Genomic DNA, 16,081 nt, shown 5'->3' on the forward strand with positions numbered 1-16,081 from the left:
CTCAAAAAAACAAAACAAAACAAAAAAAAACAAAAAACTAGCCAGGTGTGATAGTGCAAGCCTATAGTCCCAGTTCCTCAAGAAGCTGAGGCGGGAGGATAAATTGAGCCTGGGAAATCGGAAGCCTTGACTCCCATTTCTGGATGGGAGAGGTAGCTAAATTTTTTTTTTTTTTTTTTTTTTTTGTGACGGAGTCTGGCTCTGTTGCCCAGGCTGGAGTGCAGTGGTGTGATTTCAGCTCACTGCTACCTCTGCCTCCTGGGTTCAAGCGATTCTCCTGCCTCAGGCCCTGAGTAGCTTGGATTACAGGCGCCTGCCACCACACCCGGCTAATTTTTGTATTTAGTAGAGACAGGGTTTCACCATGTTGGCCAGGCTGGTCTTGAACTCCCAACCTCAGGTGATCCTCCCGCCTGGGCCTCCCAAAGTGCTGGGATTACAGGAGTGAGCCACCCCGCCTGGCGCCTAATTTTTATCACCAGATGAGATCACAGATATTGCACTTACTGTGTTGTCCCCCACAGAATAAAAACCGCACAAGACTGAGACTTCTGTTGATTCTGTTCACTATATACAAGCGTAAAACCAAAAATAAAATGCTAGGGGCCCCCAACCATCTGAACGGACCCCTCCTCTCTGCCAAGAGCATTCCAAAATGAATTTGAAAAATGAGTTTAGGCCATGATGGAAGCGGGTGAGGGGGAAGCGTCGAACTTGTCTCATTACACCCTCCTTCCTTTTGGAATTCAGGAAAAGCTGACTAGCATTAACATCAACACAGACGTTAAGTCTGATAAGAAACATTTACAGTCTATTCTTACTTAAACCTGCCACCTGGAGGTTTCATCTGCATAATAAAACCTTGGTCGCCACAACCACTTATTGTAACCCAGACATTCCCTTCTACAACCCTGGGCACACTCCTGAGGCTGTGTCATGGGTACATCCTTAACCTCGGCAAAACAAAAGTTCTTTTTTTTTTTTTGAGACGGAGTCTTGCTCTGTCGCCCAGGCTGGAGTGCAGTGGTGCAATCTCGGCTCACTGCAACCTCCGCCTCCTGGGTTCAAATGATTCTCCTGCCCCAGATTCCCAAGTTGCTGGGATGACAGGCGCGAACCACCATGCCCAGCTAATGTTTGTATTTTTAGTAGAGATGGGGTTTCACCATGTTGGCCAGGCTGGTCTCAAACTCCTGACGCCAGGTGATCCATCCGCCTCGATCTCCCAAAGTGCTGGGATTACAGGCGTGAACCACCAAGCCCAGCCGTTTTTGTTTGTTTGTTTGTTTTATTTTTTCAATGTAGAGACAGGGTCTCCTTGTGTTGCCCAGGCTGGTCTCAAACTCCTAGGCCCAAGCAATCCATCTGCTTTGGCCTCCTAAAGTGCTACTATTACAGGTGTGAGCCACTGTGCTAGGCCAAAATAAACTTTCTAAATTGATTAAGACCTGTTTCAGATGCTTTTGGGTTCACACCAGTCATAATAGATTAGTACAACAACAATATTCTGCTCACTGTAATATGCCAGCGCTGGCCCACAGCCTGGCAAGCAAGAGATGCTCCACAGCTTCCAGAATCCTGGACTCCAGCCCCAGCCCTGCCTGGTACTCGCTGCCACCGTGGACAAGTTACTTATCACTCAGGAGCTCCCTGTTCATAGTCCCTCACCTGAAAGGGATTTTTTTTTGAGACGGAGTCTCACCCTGTCGCCCAGGCTGGAGTGCAATGGCGAGATCTCGGCTCACTGCAACCTCAGCCTCCGGGTTCAAACGATTCTTCTGCCTCAGCCTCCAGAGTAGCTGGGATTACAGGTGCCCGCCACCACGCCCAGCTTTTTTTTTTTTTTTTTTTTTTGTGAGACGGAGACTCGCTCTGTCGCCCAGGCTGGAGTACAATGGCGTGATGTCTTCTCACTGCAAGCTCCGCCTCCCGGGTTCACGCCATTCTCCTGCCTCAGCTTCCCGGGTAGCTGGGACTACAGGCGCCCGCCACCACCACGCCCGGCTAATTTTTTGTATTTTTATAGAGACGGTGTTTCACCGTGTTAGCCAGGATGGTCTCGATCTCCTGACCTCGTGATCCGGCCGCATCGGCCTCCGAAAGTGCTGGGATTACAGGCGTCAGTCACCGCGCCCGGCCTACGCCCAGCTATTTTTTATATTTTTAGTAGTGACGGGGTTTTACCGTGTTGGCCAGGCTGGTGTCGAACTCCTGAGCTCGTGATCCGCCCGCCTTGGCCTTCCAAAATGCTGGGATTACAGGCGTGAGCCACCGCACCCGGCGGATTGATTTTTTTTTTTTTTTTAACTTTTTCATTCTGTCTCGGCTGCTTAAATCAGAATAGAGACGACCTTCAGCACAGAGTGGCTGTAAGAATTAAATAAGATAATGCTTTAAAGCGCTGGTAAGAGCTTTATAAGTATCAGCGAACACTGCTGCCACTATGCTCATGGTGGTGTGGCAGACAGCGGGGTGCAGAAGAAGAGGGGTGGGGGGAAGGCGGTCACATAGGGCAGGGGGGTTCAGACCAGATTCCTGAGATGTCATTTTTAGTACTCTCCAGCAAGAAGGTGGGACGGCTGGTGTGGTGGAGGAGGCTAGAGGTACAAGCTTCACCTGAGATGTCCTTAGACCCTGACCTCAGCTCCCACCGTCCTAGTGGTGCCGGGCGGCGGCCACGCCAGCCGCACCTTCCCCCGGCCAGCCCAGAGCTGCCGCTGGGGAAGGGCGGAGGGAAGGCAAGCTGGTTTTTCCCAGGCTCCCCCCGCTCCTGGAACATCTGGCCGCGAACATCTGCCCTTCGCTTTTGTGGCGCGGCCGCAGGCCGGCCTCGCACCCATCTGCCGCCTCACCGGCCCCCGCCCCATCTGCGCGCCGCTCCCCTGGGGCGGTTCCTGGCGCCCTCGCCCCCGCCCGCCGGGCCTGGTTCCCACGGGCCGAGTGCGGGAAGCCGGGGCGGCCCATCTGCCGCGAGCGGCTGCCAGGCGCGGCGAGTCCAGCGCCGAGGCGTCCCCAAAGGGCGGGACCGGCGCCCAGCAATGTCTTTCAGGCGGGTGCGCCCCCGAACAAAGTCGGGGTGCACGGCCTCTCCCCGCGCGGCTGGACCCAAAGTCGCTGCCCGGGGCTGCTGGGTCCAAGAGCGGCCGCCGCCCCTCCTGCTTCTCCCCAGAAGGGCCCGCGTGCCCCCGCTGTCCGCCGCCCAACACCCGCTCTTCCTCCTGCACCGAACACTTCGGGCTCACTGACGCGCCGTCTCCATCCTAAGCCCCAAACCTTCAAAGTGCAGGAGACAACTGTCACGTCACCCTGCAAAAAATGCTAACGTCTGATAATATAAAATGCTGGTGTGGACGTGGGAAAATAGAAACTCCCAACTGCGTTGGCCCCTCAGCCTGGAATACCCCTTGTCCTCATTGCCTGCTTAACTCTTGATTTTGTGAAATATAAAAAGTACCGAGAAATATAGCGATTTATGTTCCTAATACCACATTCCCACCACCCAGGACTGACAACTGTCAGCTGTATTTGCGCCTATTTCTCCTCCTCCAAAGAACAAACCTTTACAGATAGTGCTCCTGTCTTTTTGTGTTTTTTGTTTTGTTTTGCTTTGTTTTGTTTTGTTTTGTTTTGTTTTGAGACAGAGTCTCGCTCTGTCCCCAGGCTAGAGTGCAATGGCGCAATCTCGGCTCACTGCAACCTCTGCCTCCCGGGTTCAGGCGATTCCCCTGCCCCGTAGTCCTCCCCAGTAGCTGGGACTACAAGCGCATGCCACCACACCCAGCTAATTTTTGTATTTTTAGTAGAGACGGAGTTTCACCATGTTGTCCAGGATGGTTTCAATCTCTTGACCTCATGATCCGCCCGCCTCAGCCTCCCATAAAGCTGGGATTACAGGCATGAGCCATCGCCCCCGGCCTTTTTGTGTTTTTTGTTTGTTTGAGACAGAGCCTCACTCTGTCACCCAGGCTGGAGTGGTGCAGTGGTGTGATCACAGCTCACTGCAGCCTTGAACTCCAGGGCTCAAGGGATCTGCCCACTGCAGCCTCCACAGTAGCTGGGACTAGAGGTGCCCATCACCAGGAGCAGCTAATTTTTGTTTTGAAGAGACAGGTCTCACTATATTGCCCAGGCTGGTCTGGAAGTCCTGGGCTCAAGTGATCCTCCTGCCTTGGCCTCCCAAAGTGCTGGGATTACAGGCATGAGCCAGCAAACCGAGCCACTAGCCTTCTTTTAACCAGGGCCCTCTTCCCTTTTCTCTAAGACTATTTGCCACCCCACCCACCATGCAATCCCCCAATTACTATTAATATAATGACTTGGGTGTTTTCTTCCGGGTTATGTTTCTTGTTACTTTTACTACATGTAAATATATTAGCATTGTGTGTTTTTTTAAATTTATACTTCTAAAAAAATCATTCTGCATTTTCCCTAAGCAACATTATGCAGGTATCTAGCAGAATACACACAGACGTAGCTCATTCCTGTTCAATGCTGGGTACGATTCCATCACCATTTCCCTGTTTTCTTGTCATTGGACAAGTAAGTAGTTTTCAATTTTTGGGTTTTTTTTTTTTTTAATTAAAATAGACATGGAGTCTCGCTATGTTGACCTGGCTGGTCTTGAACTCCTGGCCTTAACTGATCCTCCCATCTCGGCCTCCCAAAATGCTGGGGTTACAGGCATGAGCCACTTGCAACCGGCCTAGTTTTCAATTTGTTGTTGTTGTAGAAATGGCTGTCACATTCTTGCCCACATCTGCTTTCTTGTGTGCAGGCCTCCCAGGGTATGTCCGTGGGAGTGAATCACTGGCTCATAGGGTGTTTTCAAATGTTCACTTTTGGTGGATATTGCCAAATTGAGTTCCCAAGTGGTCATACCAGTTTACACACCCACCAGCACTGGATGAGTGTTATTTTCCCACATGCTCACCAACATTTTTTTTTTCTTTGAGATGGAGTCTCGCTCTGTCGCCCAGGCTGGAGTGCAGTGGTGCGATCTCGGCTCACTGCAAGCTCCGCCTCCTGGGTTCACGCCATTCTCCTGCCTCAGCCTCCCGAGTAGCTGGGACCACAGGCGCCCGCCGCCACACCCAGCTAATTTTTTTGTATTTTTAATAGAGAGAGGGTTTCACCGTGTTAGCCAGGATGGTCTCAATCTCCTGACCTCATGATCTGCCCGCCTCGGCCTCCCAAAGTGCTAGGATTACAGGCGTGAGCCACTATGCCCGGCTTCACCAACATTTTCTATATTATCAGACTTTAAACTTTTGTTTTATTAATTTTTTTCTTTTTGAAGACAGGCCTTTATTTTAATTTTATTTTTTGAGACAGCATGTCACTTTGTCACCCAGGCTGAAGTGCAGTGGCAGCATCTTTGCTCACTGCAGCCTCAACCTCCCAGGCTCAAGTGATCCTCCTGCCTCAGCCTCCCTGGTAGCTGGGACTACAGACATGCCATCATGCCTGTCTAATTATTTCCTTAAACTATTTTCTTTTTTTTTTTTGAGACGGAGTTTCGCTCTTGTCACCCAAGCTGGAGTGCAATGGCGCGATCTCGGCTCACCGCAAACTCCGCTTCCCGGGTTCAAGCGATTCTCCTGCCTCAGCCTCCCGGGTAGCTGGGATTACAGGTGCCTGCCACTATGCCCGTCTAATTTTTGTATTTTTAGTAGAGACTGGGTTTCACCATGTAGGCCAGGCTGGTCTTGAACTCCTGACCTCAGGTGATCCACCTGCCTTGGCCTCCCAAAGTGCTGGGATTACAGGTATGAGCCACCACGCCCAGCCCTTTAAAATATTTTCTGGAGATGAGATCTCACTGTATTACCCAGTCTGGTCTCAAAATCCTGCGTTCAAGTCATCCTTCCACCTTGGCCTCCCAAAGTGCTGGAATTATTGGTGTGAGCCACGTGCCAAGCCAGACTTTAATGTTTTTTGCAGGGTGACACAGCAGTTGCCTCCTGCTGACATCCCAGATATGCAAATGCTGGGGCTCAGGAGCATCGGCCTAACCCTTCCTCACTTTGTCTGTCTCAGCTGGACTATCACCTCCTCCTTCAGGAAGGCCTCCCCAGTCTACCTTAGCTGACTGGCAGCTTCCCATAACCTCGCGTGCTTTCCCATCACAGCACTGGGAACTTGAGGGGTGACTGTCTCATTATGGTCTGTCTTCCCCAGCGGACTGTGAGCTCCCCAGGAAGAGGTCACATTTGCAGGGCCATTGAACAGGCTGAAAGGAACACAAAGTTGCTACAAATAGTACTTTTGTGGAAGGCTCCATCTACTTGAAGTAAGGAGTTCCTTTCTCTAATTCCTACAAAGTACGCCCTTGGGATGGCAGTAGCTCACCTACCCACCACACCTCTGTGTCCTCAGCATCTGGATACAGCAGCAAGGAAGCACCACATGGCTGGTGGTGTTTATTCCCATTTGGGTACCCTCAACTAAATGTAGCTCTGAAGAGCATGAGCCTAGGTCATGTTCTTTCCATGCTTTGCCTAGCACAAAGCAAGTGTACAATAACCATTTATTATTTAATGATTCTAAAGCTCTGTATTTCAGTGGTGGAGGATATACCCAATTAGAGGTATTATAGTCACTGTAATAATAACTAGTGCCTACTGAATGCTGACTGCCAGGAACCTGTGTGGTTTTTTTCTTTTCTTTTCCTTCTTTTTTTTTTTTGAAACAGAATCTCACCCACGCTGGAGTGCAGTGGCGCAATCTCAGTTCACTGCAACCTCCACCTCCTGGGTTCAAGCAATTCTCCTGCCTCAGTCTCCTGAGTAGCTGGGATTACAAGCACTCTCCACCACACCTGGCTAATTTTTGTATTTTTAGCAGAGACGGTTTCACCATGTTGGCCAGGCTGGTCTCAAACTCCAGACCTCAGGTGATCTGCCCTCCTCGGCCTCCCAAAGTGTTGGGATTACAGGCGTGAGCTACTGCCCCGGCCCCAGCTTTAACAAAATTTTTTTTTGTAGAGATAGGGTCTTGCTGTGTTGCCCAGGCTGGTCTTGAACTCCTGGCCTCAAGTGATCCTCCTGCCTTGGCTTCCCAAAGTGCTGGGATTACAGGTGTGAGCCACCTCACCCAGCCCCTCTTTTTTTTTTTTTTAATACGGTCTCCCTCTGTTGCCCAGGCAGGAGTGCAATGGCAAGATCGGGGTTCACTGCGGCGTCAACTCCTGGACTTAAGGAATCTTCCCATCTCAACCTCCCCAGTAGCTAGCACTACAGGCATGTGCCACCAGGCCCAGCTGATATTTTTTTTTAATTTTTTTTTTTTTTTTCTGAGACAGAGTCTCACTCTGTCGCCTAGGCTGGAGTGCAGTGGCGCGATCTTGCCTCACTGCAAGCTCCACCTCCTGGGTTCACGCCATTCTCCTGCCTCAGCCTCCTGAGTAGCTGGGACTACAGGCGCCCGCCACCACACCTGGCTAATTTTTTGTATTTTTAGTAGAGAGAGGGTTTCACCGTGTTAGCCAGGATGGTCTCGATCTCCTGACCTCGTGATCCACCCGTCACGGCCTCCCAAAGTGCTGGGATTACAGACGTGAGCCACCGCGCCGGGCCTTAATTTTTAATTTTTATTATTAATTTATTTATGGAGAGGTCTTGCTATGTTGCCCACGCTGGTCTTGAATTCCCGGCCTCAAGTCATCCTCCCACCTCAGCCTCTTCAAGTGTTGGTATTACAGGCATTAGCCACCGCGCCCAGACTTAAATCACATAAACTCTTTTTTTTTGAGACCAAGTCTTGCTCTGTCGCCCAGGCTGGAGTGCCGTGGCACGATCTCGGTTTACTGTAACCTCCACCTTCCTGGTTCAAGCGATTATTTTGCCTCAGCCTCCTGAGTAGCTGGGACTACAGGCGCGAACCACCACGCCTAGCTAATTTTTTTTTTTTTTTTTGAGATGGAGTCTTGCTCTGTCGCCCAGGCTGGAGTGCAGTGGTGCAATCTTGGCTCACTGCAAGCTCCGCCTCCTGGGTTCACGCCATTCTCCTGTCTCAGCCTCCTGAGTAGCTGGGACTACAGGCGCCCGCCACCACGCCTGTCTAATTTTTTATATGTTTTTAGTAGAGACGGGGTTTCACCATGCTAGCCAGGATGGTCTTGATCTCCTGACGTCGTGATCCGCCCGCCTCGGCCTCCCAAAGTGCTGGGATTACAGGCATGAGCCACTGCACCCGGCCTTTTTTTGTATTTTCAGTAGAGACAGAGTTTCACCATGTTGGCCAGGCTGGTCTTGAACTCCTGAACTCAAAGCCTGCCTTGGCCTCCCAAAATGCTGGGATCACAGGCATGAGTCACCGCACCTGGCCTATAGCTTCCTTTTAAACAGCACATCGTTGCTTTTGCATCAGCCAGAAAAAAAAAATACTTTTTAGAAGAAAACGTACATTATCATGAGTCATAGTATTTGAGGAGTACAGCTCTGAAGCGGCCTGAGGTGAGGGTGCAGCTGGAGGCGCCGCCCCCTGGTGACTGGGTACTCAGGGTTGGGTTGAGCCAGGAGGGTGGTGGTTGCCTCAGGCTCTGTGAGGTGGGCAGGGAGCTGGGCAGGGAGCTGGGCGGGGTCCTGAGACATTCAACCTCAGCTGGTTCCTGGGTTCCGGGCCCTGGAGCAGTGAGGGAAGCCAGTTATATGGGAGGCAGGTGAGTCAAAGGAGGGTCAGGCTGGGTGCCAGAGAGGAGGGCCACTGCTTCTGTGAGGGGGCCTCTGGGGCCTTCCGTCCATCACCCAGTGGGCATATGGGGACACCACCGAGGCCCAGAGACCTCTTGCCCAGTCTCCCCACTCTCACCTCAGAGGTCCTTGCAGCTAGGGGCAGTGGCCTCTGCTGAGCTTTGCCCAGGGTGTAGCCAGTTGGCCTCAGGGCACTCCTGACTGGTGGCATGAGCCTCCCAGGCTGCCAGGGTCAGGTCAGCTCCCACGCCTCCACCCTGGGCAGGGCCCAGGCCTGCATTCATGGGTGCAAGAGGAGAGAGAGGCCTGAGCCCTGGATGGGTGTGGTTGTGTGTCCTTGGGGCTGATGCAGGATTTTTTTTTTTTTTTTGAGACGATGTCTTGCTCTGTTGCCCAGGCTGCAGTGCAGTGGCACGATCTCGTCTCACTGCAACCTCCATCTCCTGGGTTCAAGCAATTATCCTGCCTCAGCCTCCCGAGCAGATGGAGTTACAGGCGTGCACCACCACGCCTGGCTAATTTTCGTATTTTTAGTAGAGAGGGAGTTTCACCATGTGGGCCAGGCTGGTCTCGAACTTCCGACCTCATATAATCTGCCTGCCTTGGCCTCCCAAAGTGCCGGGATTACAGGCGTGAGCCACCGCACCTGGCCTTTCTGCAGGATTCTGAATTGTGTATGTGTGGAGAGTAAGGGGACTGTGTGCTCTAGAAGGGCTGTGGTGGGAGGTCTCTGGCCTGGTGCAGGTGGGTGTTGGTTGGGTCTGTGCACTGTGGGAGTGGGTGCCTGCAGGAAGCCAGTTTATCCTTTTGCAGGCAGTGGACTTCTCTAAGGCTGCGGGCATGTGTGTTGGCATCTTGGAGTCCCAGGTGTTTTGGCGTGAGTAATACTGTATAGATGTAAGTGTGTGTAGTGTTTGCAATGTTGTAGTGTGGGTGCATGTGTCTGTGTGTCCTGTTTGTTGAGAGGATTCATTGCATGTGGTTCTGTTAGGAGTGATAATGGGGTGTTTTGAGACATTTCCTCCTTGGTCTCTATTTTTTGGTGTGTTGGTTATGCAGATTTGGTGTTTCGGTAGTGTGCGCGGAGGTCAGTGTGTTGGTTGTATATTATGGTGTACTGTTGTGCGTTGTGCATTTGGCAGGTTGTGTCTATTGGTGTGTGGCTGTTGGGTTTGTCTGTTGTGTCAGTCGTACATATAAATGCCACGTTGGGCGTGTGGGTGTGTGCATTTGTATATTGCTCTGTGGGTGTGCGAAGCAGTGTGTTTGTGTAACCCTGCAGGTTTGGCCTATGCTGAGTAACCTAAGATGGGAGCTCCCTGAGCCTTGGCTCTGCCCTTGCCTTTGGCTGCTGGAGACCCTGGGCAGCAATGGCCCTTTGTCCAGCCACAGGAAAACCCCACCCCCCTCCATCGGCAGGGGACTTGGGAGGGGCCCAGACTGGTAGGCTCCAGCCTCCCGTCCATTGTTCTGGGGCCTCTCTGGAAAACAGGATGGGAGGTGAAAGGTGGACACAGGCCTGGACCCCCACACTCCCTGAAACAACCCAGGGGCACAGCACAGAATCCTTAGGAGGGAGGGCCTGGGGACAGTCCCCATTTTGTGGATGAGAAAACTGAGGGGTTTCATTCCTATTAAAAGGGAGAGAGCCTGAAGCCCCACACCCTTTATGTGCCCACCCACAGCCTCCTGCCGGGTTTGGGGGATGGAAAAATGACACCCCAGAATGGAAACAAAACGGTCTATTGTGGTTTCCATTTCTGAATGCTTACCATGTGCTAAGTGCAGAAGTGTCATAACTCTGCAGGTTAAGTTCATATTTTGTACCCATTTTGCACAGGAGTACACTGAACCATAAGGCAACAATTTATTCTTCAAAGGACACTACTCTAAACATTACTGTATTTCAAGTAGTACGCTGTGTGACCTTGAGCAAGTTGCTTACCTTCTCTGGGCCAGGCCCTAGTTCAGCTCTGGGACACAGCAGTGACCAAAGGAGCCGTGGTTCCTGCTCTCTTAGAGCCCATAGCCTGGGCAGGGAGGAGGAGGCAAGGAATGGCAAATACACAAGAAAACAAAGATCATTTCTGATGGTAATGAATTCAGTGAATAAGAGCAGGAGAATGTAAAAGAAAGTAGCCTAGGGGGATCTGAGAAGGCCTCTGGGGAGGCGACATTTGACCTGAGACTTGAAGAATGAGGAGTCTGGCAAAGACCTGGGGCTGATCAGTGTTCTAGGAACAAGTAACAGCAAGGGCAAGGGCCCTGAGGCAGGACAGAGCTATTAATAGTTTAAGGAGGGAGGCCTCTGGGCTGGTGAGAGAAAGGGAAGGGGCCCAGTTGGGTAGTGGGCAGGGGAGGAGTTTGGATCTTATTCTCCGTGAGATGTGCTGGTTCTGGTGGTAGTGGGGGGGCCTGTAGTCTCCTGTTACAAGGGTTGGGGGTGTGGGGACAGCCAGAGCCAAAGGTCTCTCCCCCACAGCTCCGGCAGTCCCAGCCCAGAGGCGCCGGCCTGGCGGCTGGAAGATTGCACTGTGGGCACATCTGGGGAGCAGCTGCCGAGCCAGGGCCAGAGTGGGTCACGTGGCACAGGGCAGGACCGTCCTGGAGCCTACAAGGCCAAGACTCCTAGGAGGGGCAGTGGAGAACACTCTGGACGAGAACAGTGCGTCAACGAGGAGGAACTGTGCACTGTAGACGTCCAGGCACACGGCCCCCTGCAGCCCCACACAGCCCCTGCCTCAGGACAGAGTGCCTGGGTTCAATGCCACCTCCCAGCTTTGTGATCTGAAACAAGTCACTCAACCTCTCTGGGTCTCATGGCCTCAGCTGTGAAGGGGACATGATATTACTACCACAGTTCCACAGGCTGTTCTTTTTTTTTTTTTTTTTTTTTTTTTTTTTTTAATTTTTTGAGACGCAGTCTCACTCTGTTGCCCAGGCTGGAATGCAGTGGCACCATCTCAGCTCACTGCAACCTCTGCCTCCCGGGTTCGAGCGATTCTCCTGCCTCAGCCTCCCTAGTAGCTGTAGTAGCTGGGACTACAGGCTCCCGCCACCAGGCCTGGCTAATTTTTTCATATTTTTAGTGGAGATGGGGTTTCACCATGTTGGCCAGGCTGGTCTCAAACTCTTGACCTCAGGTGAACCACCCACCTCAGCCTCCCAAAGTGCTCCCAGGCTGTTTATTTCTAATTCAACAAATATTCGTTGAGCACTTCCCACATGCCAGGTGCTGCATGAGGCTCTGCGTGACAGCAGGGAACAGGACCTCCGTGGTCCCTTCCCTTCTAAGCACACAATTAATGCTTTAGAACCAGGCCTGGCATTGAGGAAACTCTTAGTAAATGTAAGCCATTTGCCTGGAGCTCTGGAGGCCAGAGGAGGCACCCTGGAAGGCAGAGAAGGAGGTGTGGTGACAGAAAAATCCTAAGGAAAGTGCACTCCCTTTTATCACCAGGTGCTGCAGTTGGCTCCTGGTATGGCTCATTTCACTCTCACAACCACCCTACGAAGAGGGATGAGCATTAGCTCCAATTTATGGATGAGGAAACTGAGGCCCAGTTTGTCAATGGCACAGCCAGGACTGGAGGCAGTGAAGGGCTGGTCCCTTTTTCTCTCTGGGGCTCAATATTCCCATCTGTGAAATGGGGCATTACAATAATACAGCTGCACCAGCTCCAGGGAGCAGTTGTGAAATCAGATGTGCCAGGTATGTGAAAAGGGCTTCCTGAGAGACTATGACCATGAATGCTGGGTTGGGAATATGGGGGTTCATTTAAGGAGCCCTCCGAACTTCCTGGCCACCAGAAGTGTCGGTTTTCCTAAGGTGACTCAGGAAAGGAGGACTGGGAAGAAAATGCACACTCAATTCACACTACCAACAAGGCCAGAAAAATGCCCATCTGACAACAAGATAAGCAGGCAATCTTTATTTAAACTCCTTGTCAGGCCTTAAACATGTAAAAGATAAGGCCAGGTGTGGTGGCTCATGCCTGTAAATCCCAGCAGTTTGGGAGGCCAAAGAAGAAGGATCACTTGAGTCCAGGAGTTCTAAACCAGCCTGGGGCAACATAGTAAGACCCCTTCTCTACAAAAAAATAAAAAATTAGCCAGGTGTGGTGGTACATGCCAGTAGTCCCAGATACTTGGGAGGCTAAATAGGAGGATCGCTTGACCCCAGGAGGTCGAGGCTGTGGTGAGCCGTGATTGCACCACTGTACTCAGCCTGGTGGACAGAGAAAGAGCCTGTCTCCAAGAAGAAAAAATTGCATAGAACTGAAAACACACACAAAAATTAGTGCATATAAATTGGGTGAAAACTGAATTTCATGCCATGCGCGGTAGTTCATGCCTGTAATCCCAGCACCTTGGGAGGCCAAGGCGGGCAGATCATCTGCAGTCAAGAGTTCAAGACCAGCCTGGCCAACATGGCAAAACCCCATTTCTACTAAAAATACAAAAAATTAACCAGGCGTGGTGGCGTGTGCCTGTAATCCTAGCTACTCGACAGGCAGGACAATTGCTCGAATCTGGGAGGCGGAGGTGGCAGTGAGCCGAGATCGCACCACTGCACTCCAGCCTGGGCGACAGAGCACTCTGTCTCCAAAAAAAAAAAAAAAAAGGCCACGCGTAGTAGCTCACGCCTGTAATCCGGCACTTTGGGAGGCCGAGGCGGATGGATCATCTAAGGTCAGGAGTTCAAGACCCGCCTGACCAACATGGTAAAACCCTGTCTCTACTAAATACAAAAAATTAGCCAGGCGTGGTGGCGCGTGCCAGTAATCCCAGCTACTTGGGAGGCTGAGGCAGGAGAATCGCTTGAACCCGGGAGGCAAAGGTTGCAGTGAGCCAAGATTAATGCCATTGCACTCCAGCCTGGGCAACAAGAGCGAAACTCCATCTCCAAAAAACAAAAAAGAAAACTGAATTTCACCTGAATTCTGGTTGTGATATTGTACTGTAGTTATACAACATACCAACTGTTGGAGTGTTAGAGAGGATGTGGAAGAACTGGACCTCTCAAATACTGTTGATAGGAATATAAAATGATACAACCACCTTTGGAAAACAGTTTGGCTGGGTTTTTTTGTTTTGTTTGGAGGCAGGGTTTTACTCTGTTGCCCAGGGTGGAGTGTAGTGGCACGATGATCTTGGCTCATTGTAGCCTCAACCTCCCAGGCTGAAGCAATCCTCCTGCCTCAACCTCCCAGGCTGAAGCAATCCTCCTGCCTCAACCTCCCAAGTAGCTGGGACTACATGTGTGCACCACCACATCTGGCTAATTTTTGTACTTTTTGTAAGAGATGGGGTTTCACCATCTTGCCCATGCTGGTCTTGAATACCTGAGCTCAGGCATTCTGCCTACCTCGGCCACACAAAGTGCTGGGATTACAGGCATGCACTGTGCCCAGTGAGTTTGGCAGTTCTTTTGTAAAGTTAAACAAATACGGCCAGTTGTGGTGGCTCACGCCTGTAATGCCAGTACTTTGGGAGGCCGAGGTGGGCAGATCACTTGAGGTCAGGAGTTCAAGATCAGCCTGGCCAACATGGTGAAACTCCATCTCTATTGAAAATACAAAACTTAGCCAGTCGTGATGGTGGGCGCCTGTAATCCCAGCTACTCCAGAGGCTGAGGTGGGAGAATCGCTTGAACCCAGGAGGCGGAGGTTACAGTGAGCCAAGATTGTGCCACTGCACTCCAGGCTGGACGACAGAGCAAGACTGAGTATACATTCACATAAACACCTGTATACAAGAGTTCATGGCCAGGCACAGTGGCTCACCCCTGTAATCCCAGCACCTTGGGAGGCTGAGGCAGGCGGATCACGAGGTCAGGAGATCGAGATCGAGACCATCCTGGCTAACACGGTGAAACCCCATCTCTACTAAAAATACAAAAAAAAAAAAAAAATTAGCCGTGCGCGGTGGCAGGCGCTTGTAGTCCCAGCTACTCGGGAGGCTGAGGCAGGAGAATGGCGTGAACCCAGGAGGCGGAGCTTGCAGTGAGCCGCAATCTCGCCACTGCACTCCAGCCTGGACGACAGAGCGAGACTCTGTCTCAAAAAAAAAAAAAAGTTCATAGCAGTTTTATTTTACTAACCAAAAACTACGAACAATCCAAATGCCCCTCACCAAATGTCTGGATAAACAAATGGTGGTATATCCATATAATGGAACACTACTTAGCAATAAGAAGGAATGACCGCCGGCCCGGTGGCTCACGCCTGTAATCCTAGCACTTTGGGAGGCAGAGGCGGGTGGATCACCACCTGAGGTCAGGAGTTGGAGACCACCAGCCTGGCCAATGTGGCAAAACCCCATCTCTACGAAAAATACAAAAATTAGCCAGGTGTGGTGGCAGGCCCCTATAATCCCAGCTACTCAGGAGGCTGATGCAGGAGAATCGCTTGAACCTGGAAGGCAGAGGTTGCAGTGAGCCAAGATCGCACCACTGTACTCCAGCCTGGGAACAGAGCGAGACTCCGTCTCAAAAAATAAAAAGAAAAAAGGCCGGGCACAGTGGCTCACTCCTGTAATCTCAGCACTTTGGGAGGCCGAGGCAGGTGGATCACAAGGTCAGGAGTTCAAGACCAGCCTGGCCAAGATGGTGAAACCCTGTCTCTACTAAAAAAAAAAATACAAAAATTAGCTGAGCATGGTGGCGGGCACCTGTAATCCCAGCTACTCGGGAGGCTGAGGCAGAGAATTGCTTGAACCTGGGAGGCGGAGGTTGCAGTGAGCTGAGATCATGCCACTGCACTCCAGCCTGGGCGACTTGAGTGAGGCTCTGTCTCAAAAAACAAAAAAGAAAAAGAAAGAAGGCCAGGTGCAGTGGCTCATGCCTGTAATACCAGCACTTTGGGAGGCCGAGGTGGGCAGATCACGAGGTCAGGAGATCGAGACCATCCTAGCTAACACGGTGAAACCCTGTCTCTACTAAAAATACAAAAAATTAGCCGGGCGTGGTGGCGCGTGCCTGTAGTCCCAGCTACTCGGGAGGCTGAGGCAGGAGAATGGCGTGAACCCAGGAGGCAGAGCTTGCAGTGAGCTGAGATCGTACCACTGCACTCCAGCCTGGGCGACAGAGCGAGACTGCATCTCAAAAAAAAAAAAAAGAAGAAAAGAAAAACATTAGCCAGGCGTGGTGGCGGGCACCTGTAGTCCCAGCTACTCAGGAGGCTGAGGCAGGAGAATGTCATGAACCCGGGAGGCGGAGGTTGCAGTGAGCCGAGACCGTGCCATTGCACTCCAGCCTTGGGGACAGAGCGAGACTGTGTCTCAAAAAACAAAAAACAAAAACAAAAAAAGACCGGGCGCGGTGACTCACGCCTGCAAGTGTAGCATTTTTGGGAAGTGGAAAAGGGCGGATAACCTGAGGTCAGGAGTTC

At 51.5% G+C, this 16,081-nt stretch overlaps 14 annotated features.

Moving 5' to 3' along the window:
• Nucleotides 192-694: an enhancer, noted in NCBI's record as "OCT4-NANOG-H3K27ac hESC enhancer chr20:30172998-30173500 (GRCh37/hg19 assembly coordinates)". NCBI's record gives its function as "activates a minimal SCP1, AML or CMV promoter by ChIP-STARR-seq in naive and primed H9 embryonic stem cells {active_cell/tissue: H9 hESC(naive and primed)}" and the evidence as "EXISTENCE:reporter gene assay evidence [ECO:0000049][PMID:30033119]".
• Nucleotides 695-1,198: an enhancer, noted in NCBI's record as "OCT4-NANOG-H3K27ac hESC enhancer chr20:30173501-30174004 (GRCh37/hg19 assembly coordinates)". NCBI's record gives its function as "activates a minimal SCP1, AML or CMV promoter by ChIP-STARR-seq in naive and primed H9 embryonic stem cells {active_cell/tissue: H9 hESC(naive and primed)}" and the evidence as "EXISTENCE:reporter gene assay evidence [ECO:0000049][PMID:30033119]".
• Nucleotides 723-1,017: a silencer, noted in NCBI's record as "tiled region #836; HepG2 Repressive non-DNase unmatched - State 23:Low". NCBI's record gives its function as "represses a minimal TATA promoter and a strong SV40 promoter by Sharpr-MPRA in HepG2 cells {active_cell/tissue: HepG2}" and the evidence as "EXISTENCE:reporter gene assay evidence [ECO:0000049][PMID:27701403]".
• Nucleotides 2,205-2,706: an enhancer, noted in NCBI's record as "H3K27ac-H3K4me1 hESC enhancer chr20:30175011-30175512 (GRCh37/hg19 assembly coordinates)". NCBI's record gives its function as "activates a minimal SCP1, AML or CMV promoter by ChIP-STARR-seq in naive H9 embryonic stem cells {active_cell/tissue: H9 hESC(naive)}" and the evidence as "EXISTENCE:reporter gene assay evidence [ECO:0000049][PMID:30033119]".
• Nucleotides 5,500-6,000: an enhancer, noted in NCBI's record as "NANOG-H3K27ac hESC enhancer chr20:30178306-30178806 (GRCh37/hg19 assembly coordinates)". NCBI's record gives its function as "activates a minimal SCP1, AML or CMV promoter by ChIP-STARR-seq in primed H9 embryonic stem cells {active_cell/tissue: H9 hESC(primed)}" and the evidence as "EXISTENCE:reporter gene assay evidence [ECO:0000049][PMID:30033119]".
• Nucleotides 6,001-6,501: an enhancer, noted in NCBI's record as "NANOG-H3K27ac hESC enhancer chr20:30178807-30179307 (GRCh37/hg19 assembly coordinates)". NCBI's record gives its function as "activates a minimal SCP1, AML or CMV promoter by ChIP-STARR-seq in naive and primed H9 embryonic stem cells {active_cell/tissue: H9 hESC(naive and primed)}" and the evidence as "EXISTENCE:reporter gene assay evidence [ECO:0000049][PMID:30033119]".
• Nucleotides 7,663-8,428: an enhancer, noted in NCBI's record as "H3K27ac-H3K4me1 hESC enhancer chr20:30180469-30181234 (GRCh37/hg19 assembly coordinates)". NCBI's record gives its function as "activates a minimal SCP1, AML or CMV promoter by ChIP-STARR-seq in primed H9 embryonic stem cells {active_cell/tissue: H9 hESC(primed)}" and the evidence as "EXISTENCE:reporter gene assay evidence [ECO:0000049][PMID:30033119]".
• Nucleotides 9,195-9,960: an enhancer, noted in NCBI's record as "H3K27ac-H3K4me1 hESC enhancer chr20:30182001-30182766 (GRCh37/hg19 assembly coordinates)". NCBI's record gives its function as "activates a minimal SCP1, AML or CMV promoter by ChIP-STARR-seq in primed H9 embryonic stem cells {active_cell/tissue: H9 hESC(primed)}" and the evidence as "EXISTENCE:reporter gene assay evidence [ECO:0000049][PMID:30033119]".
• Nucleotides 9,961-10,725: an enhancer, noted in NCBI's record as "OCT4-NANOG-H3K27ac-H3K4me1 hESC enhancer chr20:30182767-30183531 (GRCh37/hg19 assembly coordinates)". NCBI's record gives its function as "activates a minimal SCP1, AML or CMV promoter by ChIP-STARR-seq in naive H9 embryonic stem cells {active_cell/tissue: H9 hESC(naive)}" and the evidence as "EXISTENCE:reporter gene assay evidence [ECO:0000049][PMID:30033119]".
• Nucleotides 9,961-11,491: a biological region, named in NCBI's record as "OCT4-NANOG-H3K27ac-H3K4me1 hESC enhancers GRCh37_chr20:30182767-30183531 and GRCh37_chr20:30183532-30184297".
• Nucleotides 10,663-10,957: a silencer, noted in NCBI's record as "tiled region #405; HepG2 Repressive non-DNase unmatched - State 1:Tss, and K562 Repressive non-DNase unmatched - State 5:Enh". NCBI's record gives its function as "represses a minimal TATA promoter and a strong SV40 promoter by Sharpr-MPRA in HepG2 and K562 cells {active_cell/tissue: HepG2 | K562}" and the evidence as "EXISTENCE:reporter gene assay evidence [ECO:0000049][PMID:27701403]".
• Nucleotides 10,726-11,491: an enhancer, noted in NCBI's record as "OCT4-NANOG-H3K27ac-H3K4me1 hESC enhancer chr20:30183532-30184297 (GRCh37/hg19 assembly coordinates)". NCBI's record gives its function as "activates a minimal SCP1, AML or CMV promoter by ChIP-STARR-seq in primed H9 embryonic stem cells {active_cell/tissue: H9 hESC(primed)}" and the evidence as "EXISTENCE:reporter gene assay evidence [ECO:0000049][PMID:30033119]".
• Nucleotides 12,257-13,022: an enhancer, noted in NCBI's record as "H3K27ac-H3K4me1 hESC enhancer chr20:30185063-30185828 (GRCh37/hg19 assembly coordinates)". NCBI's record gives its function as "activates a minimal SCP1, AML or CMV promoter by ChIP-STARR-seq in naive H9 embryonic stem cells {active_cell/tissue: H9 hESC(naive)}" and the evidence as "EXISTENCE:reporter gene assay evidence [ECO:0000049][PMID:30033119]".
• Nucleotides 13,023-13,787: an enhancer, noted in NCBI's record as "H3K27ac-H3K4me1 hESC enhancer chr20:30185829-30186593 (GRCh37/hg19 assembly coordinates)". NCBI's record gives its function as "activates a minimal SCP1, AML or CMV promoter by ChIP-STARR-seq in naive and primed H9 embryonic stem cells {active_cell/tissue: H9 hESC(naive and primed)}" and the evidence as "EXISTENCE:reporter gene assay evidence [ECO:0000049][PMID:30033119]".

This window comes from Homo sapiens, chromosome 20, assembly GCF_000001405.40.
Source record: "Homo sapiens chromosome 20, GRCh38.p14 Primary Assembly".
Taxonomy (NCBI): domain Eukaryota; kingdom Metazoa; phylum Chordata; class Mammalia; order Primates; family Hominidae; genus Homo; species Homo sapiens.